The 17,657-nt window shown below is 57.8% G+C and overlaps 2 protein-coding genes and 1 pseudogene across 17 annotated transcripts in view, besides 11 other annotated features; 2 read left to right on the top strand and 1 right to left on the bottom strand.

The window, feature by feature from the left end:
- Positions 1 to 1,227, bottom strand: part of NSD2 (nuclear receptor binding SET domain protein 2) — a 110,800-nt gene extending 109,573 nt beyond the window's left edge. For all 15 annotated transcript variants that reach the window (NM_001440892.1, XM_047416141.1, XM_047416137.1 and 12 more), the window contains exon 1: positions 1,078 to 1,227. The gene's annotated coding sequence lies outside the window, so the exon portion shown is untranslated. The remainder of the gene's footprint in view (positions 1 to 1,077) is intronic.
- Positions 794 to 1,493: a silencer, noted in NCBI's record as "silent region_15151". NCBI's record gives its function as "represses an Ori minimal core promoter by ATAC-STARR-seq in GM12878 lymphoblastoid cells {active_cell/tissue: GM12878}" and the evidence as "EXISTENCE:reporter gene assay evidence [ECO:0000049][PMID:35858748]".
- Positions 1,544 to 1,773: a silencer, noted in NCBI's record as "silent region_15150". NCBI's record gives its function as "represses an Ori minimal core promoter by ATAC-STARR-seq in GM12878 lymphoblastoid cells {active_cell/tissue: GM12878}" and the evidence as "EXISTENCE:reporter gene assay evidence [ECO:0000049][PMID:35858748]".
- Positions 1,797 to 2,298: an enhancer, noted in NCBI's record as "H3K27ac hESC enhancer chr4:1872049-1872550 (GRCh37/hg19 assembly coordinates)". NCBI's record gives its function as "activates a minimal SCP1, AML or CMV promoter by ChIP-STARR-seq in naive H9 embryonic stem cells {active_cell/tissue: H9 hESC(naive)}" and the evidence as "EXISTENCE:reporter gene assay evidence [ECO:0000049][PMID:30033119]".
- Positions 1,804 to 2,063: a silencer, noted in NCBI's record as "silent region_15149". NCBI's record gives its function as "represses an Ori minimal core promoter by ATAC-STARR-seq in GM12878 lymphoblastoid cells {active_cell/tissue: GM12878}" and the evidence as "EXISTENCE:reporter gene assay evidence [ECO:0000049][PMID:35858748]".
- RN7SL671P (RNA, 7SL, cytoplasmic 671, pseudogene) lies at positions 3,406 to 3,467 on the top strand (annotated as a pseudogene).
- Positions 14,583 to 15,378: an enhancer, noted in NCBI's record as "H3K4me1 hESC enhancer chr4:1858969-1859764 (GRCh37/hg19 assembly coordinates)". NCBI's record gives its function as "activates a minimal SCP1, AML or CMV promoter by ChIP-STARR-seq in primed H9 embryonic stem cells {active_cell/tissue: H9 hESC(primed)}" and the evidence as "EXISTENCE:reporter gene assay evidence [ECO:0000049][PMID:30033119]".
- Positions 15,648 to 15,867: a silencer, noted in NCBI's record as "silent region_15148". NCBI's record gives its function as "represses an Ori minimal core promoter by ATAC-STARR-seq in GM12878 lymphoblastoid cells {active_cell/tissue: GM12878}" and the evidence as "EXISTENCE:reporter gene assay evidence [ECO:0000049][PMID:35858748]".
- Positions 16,048 to 16,117: an enhancer, noted in NCBI's record as "active region_21161". NCBI's record gives its function as "activates an Ori minimal core promoter by ATAC-STARR-seq in GM12878 lymphoblastoid cells {active_cell/tissue: GM12878}" and the evidence as "EXISTENCE:reporter gene assay evidence [ECO:0000049][PMID:35858748]".
- Positions 16,268 to 16,827: a silencer, noted in NCBI's record as "silent region_15147". NCBI's record gives its function as "represses an Ori minimal core promoter by ATAC-STARR-seq in GM12878 lymphoblastoid cells {active_cell/tissue: GM12878}" and the evidence as "EXISTENCE:reporter gene assay evidence [ECO:0000049][PMID:35858748]".
- Positions 16,268 to 17,256: a biological region, named in NCBI's record as "H3K27ac hESC enhancer GRCh37_chr4:1857091-1857592".
- Positions 16,464 to 17,657, top strand: part of LETM1 (leucine zipper and EF-hand containing transmembrane protein 1) — a 44,678-nt gene continuing 43,484 nt past the window's right edge. For both annotated transcript variants that reach the window (XM_006713884.2, NM_012318.3), the window contains exon 1: positions 16,464 to 16,751. In XM_006713884.2, coding sequence (XP_006713947.1) covers positions 16,670 to 16,751 — 82 coding nt within the window. In that variant the 5' untranslated portion in view covers positions 16,464 to 16,669. The remainder of the gene's footprint in view (positions 16,752 to 17,657) is intronic.
- Positions 16,755 to 17,256: an enhancer, noted in NCBI's record as "H3K27ac hESC enhancer chr4:1857091-1857592 (GRCh37/hg19 assembly coordinates)". NCBI's record gives its function as "activates a minimal SCP1, AML or CMV promoter by ChIP-STARR-seq in naive H9 embryonic stem cells {active_cell/tissue: H9 hESC(naive)}" and the evidence as "EXISTENCE:reporter gene assay evidence [ECO:0000049][PMID:30033119]".
- Positions 16,838 to 17,027: a silencer, noted in NCBI's record as "silent region_15146". NCBI's record gives its function as "represses an Ori minimal core promoter by ATAC-STARR-seq in GM12878 lymphoblastoid cells {active_cell/tissue: GM12878}" and the evidence as "EXISTENCE:reporter gene assay evidence [ECO:0000049][PMID:35858748]".

Genomic DNA, 17,657 nt, shown 5'->3' with positions numbered 1-17,657 from the left:
TCTCTCTCTCTCTCTCTCTCTCTCTCTCACACACACACACACACACACACACACAAAATACACGTTATCTACCTAAAAACGATTAACGTCACCACATCAGTTTTGATACTATGTTTCCACTTGAATGTCAAAGCCCATCGTGGGCACAGAAAGATTCGTGCTGCAATGGGTCCTATACAATACCCTCATCCATTTTATTTCTACCGAAACTTAAGACCAGCATTTTTTAAACGCCGAGATTTTAAACCACGGTTCCTGTGAGTGGAGCAAAACCAGCCATTAAGTCGCCAGGTCCCATCTCATGCACTGAGGCTTCAAGGACTATCAATCTGCATCCTGGGGCGAGGGGAACATCCCAGGCGGAGGCCCGGACGCCGAGGGCGCGCAGCCCCCCAGCAGGGTACCCACACCCGGCTCACCCCCGCCTCCACCTGCCAAGGGCCGGACCGCGGCCCGGCTTCCCGGGGGAGCGTCCGCGCTGACCAACGCCCGGGCGCCGCGAGTGTCAACGCCAGACACCGCCTGCAAACAAAAAGCGACCCTCGGCCCGACCCCTGGCCCCGGCGCCGGCCCCGGGACCCCAACCTGCCCCTCCCACCGCGGCCGCCCCGGACCGGGGGCGCCGCACAAAGGCCGGCCCGACCCGCTCGGCGCCGCGGGAACAAAGGCGGCCGCCTCGGCCGGGCCGGGCACAGGTGCAGCCGCAGGGCCCGGCCGGGCCCAACATGGCCGCGCCCGCCCGCCCGGCCCCGTTAGCCGCCGCCGCCCGCAGGCCGCCGCCCCTCCCCTGCCCGGACTCGTCCCGGCCTCCGCGGTCCGCCCGGTCCTCCCGCCGGCCCTCAGGCCTCCGCGGTCCTCGCGGTCCCCACGACCCTCTCAGGCCGCCCGGCCTCCCGGTCCCCCAGCCCCTGAGCCGGCCCCTCAGGCCTCCTCAGTGCCCCCACTCCTCCCGGCGCTCCCGCCCCCTCAGGCCTCCGCGGTCCTCCCCGCCGCCCCTCAGGCCTCCCACAGCCCGGCCTCCCGGCCCCAGCCCCGGCGGTTGGCGGCCCGCGACTGTTGGGCGGGCGCCCCAGTGACCTGCGGTGCGTCGCATCCTCGGCGGGCGGCTCTCCGGAGCGGCAGGCTGGGAGGGGGCCGGGGCCGTGCGGCGGTAGGGCCCAGGCGGGGAGGGGGCGGCGGCGGCGGCGGGCGCAGCGCGGCCAGGCCGAGGCTCTCGCGCGCGGCGCCGACCCCGCCCCCGCGCCTCCCGCCCGCCGCCGCCGCCGCAGCCGGGGCCGCCGCCGCCTCGCAGAAGCCGCGGGAAAAGTGCGCGCCGCTGATTGGCTGCCGCGCTCGCGGGGCCCGCGGACCGGGCTTTTCAAATCCGCGCCGGGGCCGCGCACGGGCGGGGCGGGCAGGCACGCGGCGGGTGGGGGCCGCGCGGGCGGGCGGGGCTGGCAGCGCCGGGAGGGCCGGGCCGCGGGCCCCGCGAGCCGCCTCAGAGTAGCGCCGGGCGCGCGCCCTGCTCCCGCTACTCGGCGGCGCGCACCCGGCCCAGACCCGGCGCCCGCGGGCGCCGCGCTCAGTGACGTCACGATCCGCGCCCAATCACCGTCCGGAGCCGGCGCCCCCGAGCCGTGGGCGCGCGGCCGCGGAGGCTGGCGTTGGGCGCGCGGCCCGCCCGCGCGGGTCCCCAAGCTCCTGTCCCGTGAGAGGGGCGCGGGGCCTGGGGCCCGCGGGAGGCTGCTAGCGGCGTCCGCCTCGCGGAGCGGCAGTGCGGGGACGGGTGGGGAAACCGCCGCAGAGGCCCCGCCGTGGCGGGCCCGGAGCCTCAGAACAGACGTGGCGGAGAGGGTCAGACGCCACGACGGGGCAGGGCAGGGCGTCGTGCTCTTCCCGCCTAACGGCCGCAGGGCGTGAACGAGTCCCCCGGGCGAGGGTCCGACCCGGAGCTGGGCGCGGCTGCGGGAGGACCGCTCGCGAGGGGAGGACGCCTGGTCCAGGGGCGCTACCCCAGCGCCGCTGCGGTAGAGCCGGGCTTCAGGGGGTGGCGCGGGCGACTGCGTGCGGCACAGGGAGGAGGAGGAAGCGGCGCGGGCGAGCGGGGAAGTCAGACGCTGCAAAAAGTGGGCGGGCCGGGCGGTTGAAGCCGGTGTGATTTGCTGCCCGCCGCCCATGGAAGTTCGGCTCCTGCCTCCAGGTGCTGCCGGAGCCGGCGGCCTTGGGTTTTCTGTCACGCAGGTTCAGGGAGCCGGGAACACCTTCGGCCTTGAGCCTTAGTGTCTGCTCGAGCTTTACAGGCCCAGCTTGAGCCCTCGCTGAGAAGCGGGCCCAGGGGAGCCTGGCGAGAGTTTGGTCAAGGAGAGCTTTGTGAAAGTGCGCTACCCGGGCTATAGAACGACACCTCAGCCCAGGTCCTGCCTCCCCGGACCCACCTCCAGCCACCAAGGAGTGGCCACAGTTCACCTCCTCTTCCTCTCCCGCGCCGCCTCCGCTGCTGTCCCTTCACAGGTGCTGGGCCCCTGTATGGGTTGAGTTGTGGCCCCCCCAAAAAAACAAGGGTTGCTGCAAGACTTACTATAAGGCTACAGTAATTGAGACATTGTGGTACTGGTGGAAAAATACACAAATAGATCCATGAACAGAATAGAGAACCCGGATATAGACCACATAATGGAGTCAGCTGAGCTTGACTCTAGGAAATGGAATGGAGAAAAGACAGTCTTTTCGACAAATGGTGCTGGAACAACTGGATGTCCACATGCAAAAAAAAATCAGGCTAGACACAGACTTTACACCCTTAACAAAAATTAATTCAAAATGGAGCCAAGGCCAGTGGCTCACACCTGTGAGAAGTGTGAGCCAGCACTGTGGGAGGCCAAAGTGAAAGGATTGCTTGAGCCCAGGAGTTGGAGACCAGACTGGGCAACATAGCAAGACCTCGTCTCTATCACCAAACAAATAAATGAATTTTTAAAATTACGGCCAGTGCCAGGCATGGTGGCTCACACCTTTAATACAAGCACTTTGGAAGGCCGAGACAGGTGGATCGCCTGAGGTCAGGAGTTCGAGACCAGCCTGGCTAACATGGTGAAACCCCGTCTCTACTAAAAAAAAATACAAAAATTAGCCAGGCATAGTGACGGGCATCTGTAATCGCAACTATTCAGGAGGCTGAGGCAGGAGAATCACTTGAACCCGGGAAGTGGAGGTTGCAGTGAGCCGAGATCATGCCACTGCACTCTAGCCTGGGTGACAGAGCAAGACTGTCTCAAAAAATAAAAAATAACAAAAAGTGAATAAGCCAGGCACAGTGGCTCACACCTGTAGTTCTAGTTATTTGGAAATCCGAGGCAGGTGGATCATTTAGTTCTGGGCTATGCCAGTCAGGTGTCTGCACTAAGTTTGCCATCAGTATGGTGACTTCCCAGGAGCTGGGAACCACCAGGTTGCCTGAGGAGGGGGGAGCCAGCCCAGGTCAGAAACAGAGCAGGTCAAAACTCCCATGCTGATCAGTAGTGGGACTGCACCTGTGAATAGCCACTGCGCTTCAGCCAGGACAACATAGCAAGACCTCGTCTTAAAAAGTGGACAAAAAGGCAGTGGCTTACACCTGTAATCCCAGCATTTTGGGAGGCCAAGGCAGGAGGATCCCTTAAGGCTAGGAGTTTGAAACCAGCCTGATCAACATTGAAATCCTATCTCTACAAAAAAATAAAAAAACAGCTGGGCATGGTGGTGCATGCCTGTAGTCTCAGCTACTCAGGAGGCTGAGACAGAAGGATCTCCTGAGCCCAAGAGTTACATGAGGCTACAGCAAGCTGTGATTGCACCACTGCATTCCAATCTGGGCAACAGAATGTGACCCTGTCTATAGTAAAGTGGACAAAAGACCTCCACAGACGCCTCCCCAAAGTAGATACCCAGATGGCAAGGATGCACGTGAAAAGAAGATCCTCATTATCAGGGCGTAATCTCAACTACTCAGCAGGCTGAGGGGGGACGACTGCTTGAGCCCAGGAGTTTGAATACAGCAAGACCCCATCTCTCAAAATAAAAATAACAAGAGGTAGAGAGACCTGGGCTAGCAGTTAGTATGCTCAGCCCCCTTGTCATGGGACGCCTGGGAAGCTTCAGAGAGTCCACACCAGCAAGAAGGCTCTCATCAGACACACCTCTTGGACCTTGAACTTCCCAATCTCCATAACTGTAAGAAATAAATTCCGGCCAGGCACAGTGACTCACGCCTGTAATCCCAGCACTTTGGGAAGCTGAGATGGGGGATCCCTTGAGCTCAGGAGTTTGAGACCACCCTGGGCAACATGACAAAACTCCATCTCTATAAAAAAAAAAAAAAAAAAAAACTACAAAATCAGCTGGGTGTGGTGGTACATGCCTGTAGTCCCAGCTATTCAGGAGGCTGGGTGGGAGGATCACCTGAGCTCGGGAGGTTGAGGCTGAGTGAGCCATGACTGTGCCACTGCCACTGCACTCCAGCCTGGGCAACAGAGTGAGACCCTGTCTCAAAAATAAGTAAATAAATTCATTTTCTTTATGAATCACCCAGTTTCAGGTAGTCTGCTATAAGCAACAGAAAACTGACTAAGAAGCCAATCTGAAAGGGCTACAAACTTGTGTGATTCCAACTCCATGACATTCTGGAAAAGGCAAAACTATGGAGACAATAAAAAGATTAGCCAGGGGTTAGGGCAGGGAGGGATGAGTAGGCAGAGCACAGATGATATTTAGGACAGTGAAAATACTCTGTGTGACACTGTAACAGTGGATACAAGAACGTACAGCACCAAGAGTGAACCCAAAACCGGATTTTCAGTGATCATGACGTGACAATGTGGGTTCACTGATTACAAGAAATATACTACTCTAGTGGGGAATGCGGATGATGGGGGAGGCTGGGTGTGTGGGTGAGAAGGGGCTATATGGGACCTGGGTGCACTTTCTGCTCTATTTTGCTGTATACCTAAAACTGCTCTAAAAATTAAACTTTAGGCTGGGCGCAGTGGCTCACCCCTGTTAATCCCAGCACTTTGGGACCAAGGCGGGCGGATCACCTGAGGTCAGGAGTTCGAGACCAGCCTGGCCAACATGGTGAAACCCAGTCTCTACTAAAAATGCAAAAATTGGGCTGGGCACAGTGGTGCGTGCTTGTAATCCCAGCTACTCTGGAGGCCGAGGCAGGAGAATTGCTTGAACCCAGGAGGTGGTGGTTGCAGTGAGCCGAGATCATGCCACTGTACTCCAACTTGGGCAACAGAGCGAGACTCTGTCTGAAAAAATAAATATATAAAAATTAAACTTTATTAGTTAAGAAAAAAGATACATTGAAGTCTTAACTCCCAGTACCTCAGAATGTGGTCTCATTTGGGGATGAGGGTCTTTCCAGAAGTAATCAAGTTAAAATGTGGTCATTAGGGTGGGCCCTAATCCAATATGACTGTATCCTTATAAAAAGGGAAAATTTGGAGACAGGCACACCAAGGAGAGGCCATGTGAAGAGGAAAGCAGAGGTCAGGGCAATGCTTCCGAATGCCAACGACTGCTGGTGAGAGGATGGGACCCATTCTCCCTGGCAACCTAAGAAGGAACCAACTTTGGAAATGCTTTGATCTCACGTATCTGGCCTCCCAAATGTTTAAGCTACCCAGTCTGTGGTATTTGCTACAGTAACCCGAGCAGACTGATACTGTCCCTAATAAGGCTTCTGGAGAAGCTGACCTATGGCAGCTGAAGGGGCTGGATTAGAGTCGGGGACATGGGGGTGAGGGGTAGAGGTGGCAAGGACAGCAGGCTTGAACTCAGGCAGTGGAGACAGAGACATTTACGAAGACTCGGGGCTGGGACAGGTATGAGGGGCAGAGGGAGGTGAGCAGTGGCTTTTTTCCTTCCCAGGATCCTGGGTACTGTCCCCACAGCAGAGGCACAGCCTTTGGCGCTGGAGCTGTGGGAGCCAGGCAAGCCCCTCCACCCCTTGGAGGCTGTCTGTACAATGGGAAGCACGTGGCAGAAGCCAGCCTGGGAGCCTCGCACATGGCGCTCAGCCTGCGCTCATTTCTTTTCTGGTAGACTGGATTCCTGCCCAGGCCCCAACTCCAGGTGCTGCTGTGGGTATTAGAAGGGGTGGTGGGAGCTGAGACGTGAGCTCTCTGGACAAGGCTGTGTACCCACAGCCCTGGTTCCTGGGACTCAGACACCTCAGGCTGCGGAACAAGACATCTGCTGGTGCAGCCTCCAGACTTTTGCAGCCAGGTCACCTGCAGATAGAAACAGGCACCCAGCTGTGCCCTGCTGTTGAGACCAGGTGCTGTGACGCAAGGCTCCATGGCCCAGCCTACTCCTAAATCCTCCAGGTCTCTCCAGCCACTCAGGAGTGCTCAAAGTCCAGTACTCCTCCTGGTCTAAAGGGATGAGAAAAAGGTCCCTAAGGCCAGGCAGGGTCCATCAAAAGCAGGATGAGAGTAGGGAGCCTGAGGTTTTAGGTCCAGGAAGAGCCTCAAGGGCAGGACAGAACAAAGCCTGCTGGAACAGACCCCTCGGTGATCAGCCACAGGCTACCTCTGCTTCCCACTAGAGAAGGGACTGGCCCGGAGTACACTGGGGCCCAAGGAAGCCCTCCCCAGGGTCCCCACTGGAAGGGATTATCAAATTATTTATTCCTCCTCCAAACCCTACGTGGTGAGGCCCTGCTGGGTCCTGTGCATAGTGTAGGCTTGGGCAGCGGCCAAGAGATGCCCCACAGCAGTCACTGCCAGAACTCACCTGAGGCCACCAGAAGCCCCTAGAAGGTGTCTTATTTGGGTAGTGGCCAAAACCCTCTGGCTGTGGGGAGGAGGACAGGTGCCTCTCCAGGCCCTGGATCCCTCTAGGGCACAGGCCTGGAAACTGTCTACCTCCCCAACACCATTTAAATCCCCGCAGCGTAAGAGGAATACCACCACATCTCATTTCATTCTACAGATTTGGAATTAGGGCTACTTTTCCCCAAAAATCTGCATTTTGAATAGTACAATCAACATGTAAATGTATTCAACACATGCAAGTGTGTGTTTGGATTTCCTGGAAGAAAGTTATCTGGGGCTGGCTGGTCTTTTCCTGCCCAGCGCAAGCCTCCCTGAGCCCAGACAAGCTCTCTCGGGTGGTCCTGAGCCCCTTGCAGTTGAGTCTGGCCAGCTCTGCACCCCAATCCCCCCACACACACACACCAGGGGCCTCTCCCCAAAGGCGATGTGTGTTGTTGCTCTCAAGAGCAAGAAGGGGCCGGGGTGGTGGCTCATGCCTCTAGTCCCAGCACTTTGGGAGGCCGAGGCGGGTGGATCACCTGAGGTCAGGAGTTTGAGACCAGCCTGGCCAATATAGTGAAACCCCATCTCTACTAAAAATACAAAAATTAGCTGGGTGTGGTGGCATATGCTTGTAGTCCCAGCTACTTGGGAGGCTGAGGCATGAGAATCGCTTAAACCTGGGAGGCAGAGGTACAGTGAGCTGAGACTGTGCCATTGCACTCCAGCCTGGGCAACAAGAGTGAGAAACTCTGTCTCAAGAAAAAAAAAAAAAGAGCAAGAAGGAACAGGTCCGCACCAGACACCTCTGGTGGGTTCCTGCGGAAAGGAGGCCCTCGTCTGAGGTGCTCGCCATTTGCAGGTGTGTCGTCCGGGCTCATCTGAGAGGCTCCAGGGTGGGCTGTTGATGCTTCAGTCCCGCAGGGTAATGCTTTGGGCACAGAGACTGCTGGGACGTTCTGACAGCCAGGGCTGCTTCCCCATCCCTGAAGGCTGAGAGAAGTCGTCCTTGGAGGGCAGGCCTCAGGCAGGTTGGTACAGGCCATCGGAGCGGGGCCTGGGTCCTGGGTGGGACCAGAGTGACCCTGAGCAGGTGGTCAGGGACAGTAGCAGCCAGGCAGAGCCTGGCTCTTTAATCTCTTTATGACTCTCCTCTTTTCTCTAACGAAAAGCTCTGTATCTGGCTGTCAGCCGTATAGTCACCGCCTACTCAGGGCCTACAGCCCTAGGAGGGAGAGTCCTCTCTCCCTTCCATGTGGCTCTTCATGGCTGCATGTCTGGTACCTCCTGGCCCTGACCTCCCTATAAAGGCTGCTGCCAAAGGAGCCCCTGAGCCCTGGCTTGGCCTCCCCAACCCCCACAGGGCTGGGGTCCCCCAGGGGCCAGGCTCATTGCCGTTTCCATGGAGATGTGTGCACTCTGACCCCAGCCTTTCTCCGTCCCAGGCCAGATAAAGAGGGCTTCCAAGTGGAAACCAGCAGCCTCAAGCTGCCCCGCCTCCCAGGCCCCAGGTGGCTCCTGCCTCCAAGGAGGGGAGGGAAGGAGGCCCCATCCCCTCAACTCAGGGCCCAGCAGGTCCAGAGCTGAAGCAGAGCCGCAGCTAGGGCCAGAAGGGCCTCCCCTGAGGCCCTCCCAACAACCCTTTCCCAGCCTAACCACTCTGGTCTCCGGGTTGGAACCTCACCTTTCCCAAGTTCTGGCTCTGTCCCAGCTCCCACTCAGCCCAAAGGCCACATTGGTTCCCTGGGATGGCCCATGGGAGTGACAGCTGCAGCCACTGGAAGCCCAAGGGCAGCACTGCAAGGCCTCTTAGGGCCATGTGAGCAGAGCTTCCACTGAGTTGGGGTCCCCATCGGGTAGGGGTGATGGACATGGGGGCTGAAATCCAGCTGAGGAGCCCCACTTCCCTCCCTGTGTCCTGGCTGAGTCCCAGTGGTCACCTCCAAGAATAAACCACATATCAGGACCAGGCTTCAGTCGTGGGGGCAACTGGAAATCCATCTCCCCACAAAGATGCTTCCTGGAGAGGCCACCCAAGCAAGCAGAGCCCCAGGCCTCAGAGGTGACCCGCACTGGTGTCACCCCTTGGACAGTCAGACACCCACCTTTGGCAAGCACCAATCTGAACTTTACCCCTCTCGCTGTGCGAGCTCTCAGCTGAGGGACAACTTCCTCTAGAGCCCTCCTTCCTCCCCCATAGCCCCATGAACACTACCTCTGGACTGGACTGGGGGGCTCCCAGGCCAGGTTCCCGCTCCTACCAGTTTCTTAGGACCACAAAATGCCAGAAAGTTACCCTCATCGTTCTGGAGCCTAGGAGCCTGAAAACAAGGTGCCAGCAGGGTGGGAGGCTTTGGGGAGGGTCCTCCCTGGTATCTCCTCAGCTTCCGGTGCTTGCCTCAGACCTTTGGTGGCAACCTCTGATCCCTGGCTCCGTGGTCACGTGGCCTCTGCCTTGCACATCGCCTGAGTCTCTTTTCTCTTAGGAGGAGCACAGATCTATTGGAGTAGGGCCCTTCCTAATAACCTTATCTTACCTTGGTTACATCGGCAAAGACTCTATTTCCAAGTGAGCTCGCACTTAGAGATGCCAGGTTAGGGCCCGAAAATCTCTCTTTTGAGACAAGGTCTCAGCTCTGTCGCCCACGCTGGAGTGCAATGGCACGATCACGACTCACTGCAGCCTTGACCTCCGAGGCTCAAGCGATCCTCCCGCCTCTGCTTCCTGAGTACCTGGGACTACAGGCCCATAAGACCACGACCGATTTCGTTTTTTTTTTTTTTTTTTGGTGGGGGGGTCTAGCTATGTTGCCTAGACTGATCTCAAACTCCTAAGCTCTAGCAATCGTCCTGCCTCCACCTCCCAAAGCACTGGGATTACAACCATGAGCACCTGGCTCTACAACACCTCTCTAACTAGTTGCAGGACCTTAGCAACTACAGTTGGGACCTGGTGTCAGGTCAGAGCCAGCCCCAGCCCGTAGCGCTCACCTGCACGCCTTCTCCCTCTCCCCAGGGCGGCAGGGCTGGGACTGGTGATAGCCAGGCAAGCGCAGTGTCCAGGCAGGAGAAGAGGCCCGCGGGGTCCTTGACCGCCCTCAGGGCACCCACTCAGCCACGACCCCCCCACCCCCCACTCCCCAGTCCTGGCCTCGCTTCCGTGGAGGCCCTGGCTAGGCCCCGCCCCGTCCCAGGCCCCGGTTCCCGCGCACCCCGCGACCCCGCCCCAGCCGGGCTCTTCGGATTTTGCAGCGCGAGGTCCCTCGAAGGGAAAGGGAAGACAGCGAGGCCTGGGTGCCGCGCCCCCCACTTCCTCCTGCCGCCCCCGCAGCCCCCGTTCTGCACAGGGACTTCCCCGGGGTCGGGACCACCCAGAGCAGGGCGCGCGGCCATTGCTGCCCACTCACTCTGGCTTTGGCTAAAGAAACATTGTTTCGTGCTAAAATAGCACTTCTTTTTTTAATTATGAAAATGGCAGGAAATTAAAACCCACAGCAGCAGAAGGAAGAAAATAAAAGTTCTTCCTAAACCCTGTGCCTGCAGCGACGTCTTTGGGGAGCGCGTTGGGCCGCTTCTTCCCTAGACTGGCGACCGTCTTTGGCAGCCTGAGTTAGGGACTGACCAGGGACAGCCAGAGTGCCACCCCAGCCAGTCTGGGACAGCCACGCAGGACAGAGGCTGCCTCCCCTTCTGCCAGCCAGCCAGATGTTTTACTGTTTTTTACTGCAATAATTTTAGATTTACTGAAAAGCTGCGAAGATCATAGGGAGTCCCCCAACCTGGTTTCCCCTAATGGTAACATCTTACATTTCCAGGGTAGCTTGGTGGAAACCAACACTGGTCCCTTACTATTAACTGATCACCAGGGTCAATTCAGAGTTCACCAGTTTCCCCACAAATGTAGAAGGATCTAAAAAGCAAATCTGGCTGGGCACAGTAGCTCCTGCCTGTAATCCCAGCACTCTGGGAGGCCCAGGCAGGTGGATGGCTTGAACCCGAGTTGGAGACCAACCTGGGCAACATAAGGAGACCTCATCTCTACAAAAATTTAAAAATTAGCTGAGCATGGTGGCGTATGCCTGTAGTCCTAGCTACTCCAGAGGCCGAGGCAGGAGGATTGCTTGAGCCTGGGAGTTCAAGGCTGCAGTGAGCTATGATCACGCCACTACACTCCAGCCTGGGTGACAGAGACTCTGTCTCAAAAAATAAAAAACAAAAAGCAAATCTAGGTGCAGCAAACCACCGTGGCGCACGTTTACCTACGTAACAAACTTGCACATTCTGCACATGCATCCTGGAACTTAAAGTACAATAAAATTAAAAAAGAAAAGAAAATAAAAGAAAATATATGTGCAGAAGGTGGAGCCCAGCCAGAGCACCAGTGTGCAGCACCCCACTGAACTGGGGACAGTAGCACAGCTGGAATCTGTGGGGAAGGCCCTGGAGAGGAAAGTGTTTGCAGGGAAGCCTGAGATGTCCCACTGTCCTTGGCTGAGGAGTGGGCTGCACCTGCTCAGGATGAGGCCACCTGGACTTAACAGGAAGCAACTGCCATAGGAATTCTGGCCCAGCCTGCATGGAGAGACCTCATTCTAACCTCATCAATGTCCCTCATGAATGCTTTGGTACCTGGCTCCAAACCCCTCTCAGCCCACAGGCTTGGTATGCAGCTGAGACACCAGGACCCATGCCCTGGGAACTGGGACTGTGTCCTAGAGCAAATTCTCTAGGCACATCCTGTCTTAGTTATCTATTGCTGCATAATGGACTACCCTCAGTTCTTCCCCATGTGGGTCTCTACAGGCTATCTGAGTGTCCTCATGACCTGGCAGCTGGCTGTTCCCAGAGTGGAAATCCAAAAGGGAGCAGGGAGCCTGTAATCCCAGCATTTTGGGAGGCCGAGGTAGGTGGATTGCTTGAGCCCAAGAGTTCAAGACCAGCCTGGACAATGTGGCGAGACCCCATCTCTACAAAAAAATACATAAATTAGCCAGGCATGGTGGCGTGTGCTTATAGTCCTAGGTACTCTAGAGGCTAAGGTGGGAGGATCCCTTGAGCCCGGGAGGTGGAGGCTGCAGTGAGCTATGATTTTGCACCACTGCACTTCAGCCTGGGCAACAGAGCGAGACCCTGTCTAAAAAAAAAATATATATATATATATATATATATATATATACACACATATATATACATATACATATATATACATATATATATACACACACATATATATACACACATACACATATATATAGTGGGTTCCATTGATTCAAATAAAAAAATTTTTTAAAAATTAAATAAAACAACAACAACAAATAACAAATTTAGGTCAAGCATGGTGGCTCTTGCCTATAATCCCAGCACTTTGGGAAGCTGAGGCAGGAGGCTCACTTGAGGCCAGGAATTCAAGAACACCCTGGGCAACATAGTGAGACCCTGTCTCTACAAAAAATTAAATAATTAGCCAGGCATGGTGGCACATGCTTGTGGTCCCAGCTACTCAAGGAGGCTGAGGCAGGAAGATCGCTTGAGCCCAGAGGTCAAGGCTGTAGTGAGCCGTGATCATACCACTGCACCCCAGACTGGGCAACAGAGTGAGGCCCTATTTCAATTAAAAAAAAAATCCAAATGCATAGCCCTCCCATGTCCCAGCCCAAAGCCACCACTTTTTTTTTTTTTTTTTTGAGACGTAGTCTAGCTATGTCTCAAAAAATGCAATGTAGTGTAGTGTACACTGGAGTGTAGTGGCGTGATCTCGGCTCACTGCAACGTCCATCTCCAGGGTTCAAGTGATTCTCCTGCCTCAGCCTGTCAAGCAGCTGGGATTACCGGCATGTGCCACCACGCCCAGCTAATTTTTGTATTTTTAGTAGAGACGGGGTTTCACCATGTTGGCCGGGATGGTCTCGATCTCCTGACCTCGTGATCTGCCCACCTCAGCCTTCCAAAATGCTGGGATTACAGGTGCGAGCCACTGTGCTTGGCCCAAAACCACCACTTTTATCTGCAGGTGGTTCCTCAGTGGGGTGAGAGGAGGCTGGAGGCTGGAGGCTGACCTCCACTTCTCCTGCTGCATGTACCTGGCTAAAGCTTCTCCCAGCTGCAAGGTGACCTGGTATCCAAGGTTTTTCTCCTGGGCTGTCACCCTAGCCCCTGCCATCACCAGTAAGTGCAAGCACCCTGTGTGGAGCATCCCACTTTCGTCAGCTTACTTGTTCTGGTACCTGGCTCCAAACCCCTCTCAGCCCACAGGCCAGTGATCCTGCTATCTTCTGCTGTCTCCCACTGCCCCCTCCTGTTCTTCCCTTTCCTTCTCCCCAGTTTCAATTCCTGGGACAAGCCTCATAGTCTCTTGCAAACATCCTTGTCTCTCTTCCTTCATCATACTTCCCAGCAAATCCCCAATCTGGGCAAATGCAACTCTGGCTGCTTTTCACCAGAGCATGGGTCAAGTGCAGCACACAACCCTTCTAAGTCTTCCTCTAGTTCGCTAACTGGTTCCCTAAGCTCCCTAACTAGATCCCTAACTTCCTCCCTAACTAGATCCCTAGCCCCCCTTCCCTAACTAGATCCCTAAACCCCCCAACTAGGTCCCAACCCCAACTAGGTCCCTAAGCTGCCTGACTAGTCCCTAGCCCCCTCCCTAACTAGATCCCTAACCGCCCTCCCTAACGGGATCCCTAACCTCCCTAACTGGGGCCCGTGTGCTGCCTGGGCTTCCTGCCCTGTTTCTCTACTGTCACTTGTATATACACCGAGTGACTATGGAAGGTTATATGTGATTTGTGAGGAACATAGGGAGAAGGAAAAGGAAGTTTCCCCAACCAAAAAAAAAAAAAGAAGAGAAAAAGGCTAAAAACAGTGCTTGCTATTAAACCACTGCGCCATGGTTCTGTGCCCTTGTTCTGCTGCATATGGAGATGTGGGACTGGAAGGCCTCATTCCAGCCTTAAGGGTGCACAGTCAGCTGGCTGGATGCCAGATTTCTACTTATTTCTTTTGACCTATTTTTTTTTTTTTTTTTTGCGACAGTCTCGCTCTGTCACCAGGCTGAAGTGCAGTGGCACAATCTTGGCTCACTGTAACCTCTGACTCCCTGGTTCAAGCAGTTCTCCTGCCTCAGCCTCCCGAGTAGCTGGGATTACAGGCATGCACCATAATGCCCAGCTAATTTTTGTATTTTTAGTAGACAGGGTTTCACCATGTTGGCCAAGCTGGTCTCGATCTCCTGACCCCGTGATCAGCCCGCCTCGGCCTCCCAAAGTGCTGGGATTACAGGTGTGAGTTACTGCGCCTGATCACAGCTATTTTAATTGTTGAAAATTTATCTAAGATCCCACCCTGCCTGGGCTGCACGAGCATCGCAGACAGCACCTGCCTGTGTCAGTCCTGCTGTTGGCTCTCCGCTGCCAGGCTTTCCTTGTTCTGGTCCAGGGATGGTGGGTCATCCCAACTGCAGGCGAGGGTATGTTCCACATTTCCTCACACCCAGCACTTTGGGCAGGGTGGAGACTGCGGGGAGGGCTTCCCTCCTCTTTCAGTGTCATTCAAAGTCCTGTAAACAGGCACTAGCACAGATGGGGCAGTCACCACCTCCTGCCTGGCCTTGCCGGGACACCTGGGACCCCACAGCATTAACGAGAGGAGCACTGTTTCTTGCACCCTCTCCGGGGTCACCCTCCCTAGCCAGCATCGGGCAGGGTCATCTGGTGCTCAGAACCAATGTCCAGACCAGGACTAGGACATACAGTCCTACAGCTGGGCCATAAAAAGTCCTACAGCTGAGCCATAAAAAGTCCTACAGCTGGGCCATAAAAAGTCCAGTTCTTTCTGACCCTGACCAACTGTCCACTCCAGCTCAGGTCCAACCCTGGGTGGGGAGGCAAGGACTATCCTTCTGTATCCCCCTCTTGCCTCCTGGGGGATGGGTGGAAAAGGGGCCCCTTCATGTCTGTTGGCAGCACAGGCCTAGGTTCAGGCCTAGTTGTGCTTAAACTCTGTCTGCATTTGATGTCTGCAGTGCCCACTGACCGGTGTGGACACAGGGACTTACAGACGGCTTCAAAGTGCCCTGCACTAAACAATGCCCCCTTCTCCCACTGAGATGGGGAATTCAAGCCCATCCAGGCCCAGTACCTGGCAGTTCCTGATGGGGAAAACCACCCAGGCAAGCAGGCTACGTTTTCCTGACGGGTGAGGACCGACTGCATGGACAGCAGGGGCAGAGGGGACCCTGGGGAGGGAGCCTCCTAGGGAGATGTGCCATTCAACCAGCCTCTCAAGACTGGGGAGCTGGCTGGCATCAGGCGTTTCACACCCCATGCGCTCCAGGGAACAGAGATGCTGAGTGTGCACTACAAGACCCTCCCCAGGCGGTGCCCTGAGGTGCCGCGGAGAAGCAGGAGGAGGCAGGTTACATCCCTGAACAAGACAGAGGGCAGGGCAAGTGCTGTGCTGGGGATCTCCTAGCTGGAGATCTCCACCAGCTGGGCCCCCAGCGCCGCAGGTCCCCATTTTTCTCCCTGCCTGCTTTCTCTGCCCCAACTCAGGGATCCTCATCTTAGGGAAGGAAGGGGAAGGTGGAGCTCAGAGGTCACGGTCTGCTGGGAGGCTGCACGGTCTCTCTCCCCTGGACTGGTCAGGGCCGGCTATTAAACTGGGCTGGGGGGAGGCTCCTGGGAGACGGCGCATGAGCGGTCCGCGAGCCCAGCCCAGCTCTGGCGGGAATTCTGGAGACTTCGAGCCAGGTCCTTGGCGTCCTGGGCTTCGGCTGTTCCTTCTTGGACTGGGAAGTGGAGCGGACAGGGTATGGCCCAGGTTAGGAAGTCTGGCGCTCTTGCGGCGCGCGGGACCCCAGGGGCTGCTTAGGCCAGAGCGAAACGAGGGGTCCCCCCGCGCCAACGCAGGACCCATATCTACCCCTCCCGCTCAGACGGGAGGACGCGGTGTGCCGGGATGGGGGGCCGCTATGCTGGCTGCGCCGCCACCCGGCCTAGTGCCCTCGCCTCCAGGGGCCGGCATGGCCCTGTCCTTCGGGGCGGGACCCTGCGCTCCCGTCCCCCCAGTGGTGACGGGGACTCCCGACGCCGAGCAGCGCCGTATCTGGGGAGCGCCGCCCGGTACGCAGGGAAGAGGCACTCAGAGCTGCGCGCGCCAGAGTGCAGACCGCCGAGGGCAGAGCCACAGAGCAGGGGGGCCGGCGAGGGACCGCGGCCGAGGGCGTCGAGGGCGCCCCTCCATCCCCAGCGTCCCCTGACTTGCCCTTGGAGCCCCAAGCTCCCAGGAGCCGTTTTCTACTCGTGGGTGCAGGACTTAGTCCCAGAAAAGTTCCGGACACACGCGCTGCTGCCGCCGCCCGGAGACGAAAAGACACTCCCCGCGCAAGCGCGGCCGACTCCCTCAGCTCCTGCGGCCGCCACGCTGCGAGCCCCGGCGTCCACGGTACGACGGGAACCAGGATGCAGCGAGCCCCAGGAGCCAGCCGCCCCGGTGCACGCCGGGACCGGTAGTCCGCGCCTCAGGGTAGTCCGCCGCTCCGGTGCACGCCGGGATCGGTAGTCCGCACCCCAGCGTGCAGGCCGTCCCGGTGCACGCCGGAACCGGTAGTCCGCGGTGGCGCGGTCCGCCCCTCACCTGGCCAGCGGCGGGCGCTGAGGGGCCCAATGGGAGCCGCGGCCTGGCCGCCCCGCCCCGCGCCTCCGGACGTCTGTGCCGGGACAAGGCCGCCGCTGGTGCCGGGTCCTTGAGGAGAGCGCCTCCCGTCCGAGGCCAGCCGCCTCTGTCAGCCGTCCGCGCGGGCCGGGTCTGAAGCGCCGCCGGGACGGCGAAGAGCCGCGGCCGCCGCGGAGAAGGAGGCAGCGCAGGAGGCCGGAGCGGCCGCCGCGCCCGAGCACATGGCGTCCATCTTACTGAGGAGCTGCCGCGGCCGGGCGCCCGCCCGCCTCCCGCCGCCGCCTCGGTACACCGTCCCGCGGGGTAAGCGGCGGGCACCCCAGGGCGGGGCCGGCTCCCGGCTGGTGGGTCGGGAGCGCGGACGACCCGCGGGTTCGGGCTGGTTGTCACGGCGATGCGGGGAGCCCGGTGGTCCCGGCCTCCGGAGCCCCTGCGGGACCGTGGGGCCCCGGGTCTCGTCGCGGGCTGGGCCGCCAGCGCCGGGCGGAGCCGCTGGGCCTCTGCCGTGTGTTGTGACCTTAGGCGGCCGGGTCCCCCGGGTCACTGCCTCAGAGACAGTGGGAAAATTCTGAAGGGCTGGGCAGCCCTGGCGCGCCCTGCGCGAGTAAGCTTGGTGGAACGTGTCCACGCACGAGGACGGCCGTGCCCTTTGGTCACGTTTGGGGTCCCGGAGACGAGACTGGGTGGGCAGGGCAGACACCGGCGAGCAGGACCTGCTGGGCTGCAGGAGCCTTCCTGGTCCGTCACTGATGAGGTGATGCCAGCACCTACAAACCCCTGTGGTGTGATTAGGCCGCGACCGGCACCCGGGGAACACGGGGACTCCGGAGCCGCTGAGGGTCCTCAGGGTGCGTGGCTTTAGCCCCCCTAGCCTCAGGTGCTGTCTGGAGTGAATGCTGTCCCAGGGTGTGCCCACCTCCTCTCTCTCTCTAATTAACCAACTTATTTGAGTCTATGTCCTTATTTGTAAAATTGGAATAAACATAAAACTTGCTAAGAGGGACTCAAGTAAAATAATTAGTGCAGTGGTGCGATCATACTCACTGCACCTCAAACTCCTGGGCTCAAGCTATCCTTCTGCCTCAGCCTCCCAAGTTGTTAGTTGTGCCACACAACACCCAGCTAATTTTTTTTTTTGTAGTTTTTTTGTAGAGACAGGGTCTTGGTATGTTGCCCAGCCTGGTCTTGAACTCCAAGGCTCAACTGATC

This window comes from Homo sapiens, chromosome 4 (assembly GCF_000001405.40).
Source record: "Homo sapiens chromosome 4, GRCh38.p14 Primary Assembly".
NCBI classification, from domain to species: Eukaryota; Metazoa; Chordata; class Mammalia; order Primates; family Hominidae; genus Homo; species Homo sapiens.
The sequence above is the reverse complement of the archived record's forward strand: the minus strand, read 5'-3'. Positions and strand labels throughout refer to the sequence as shown.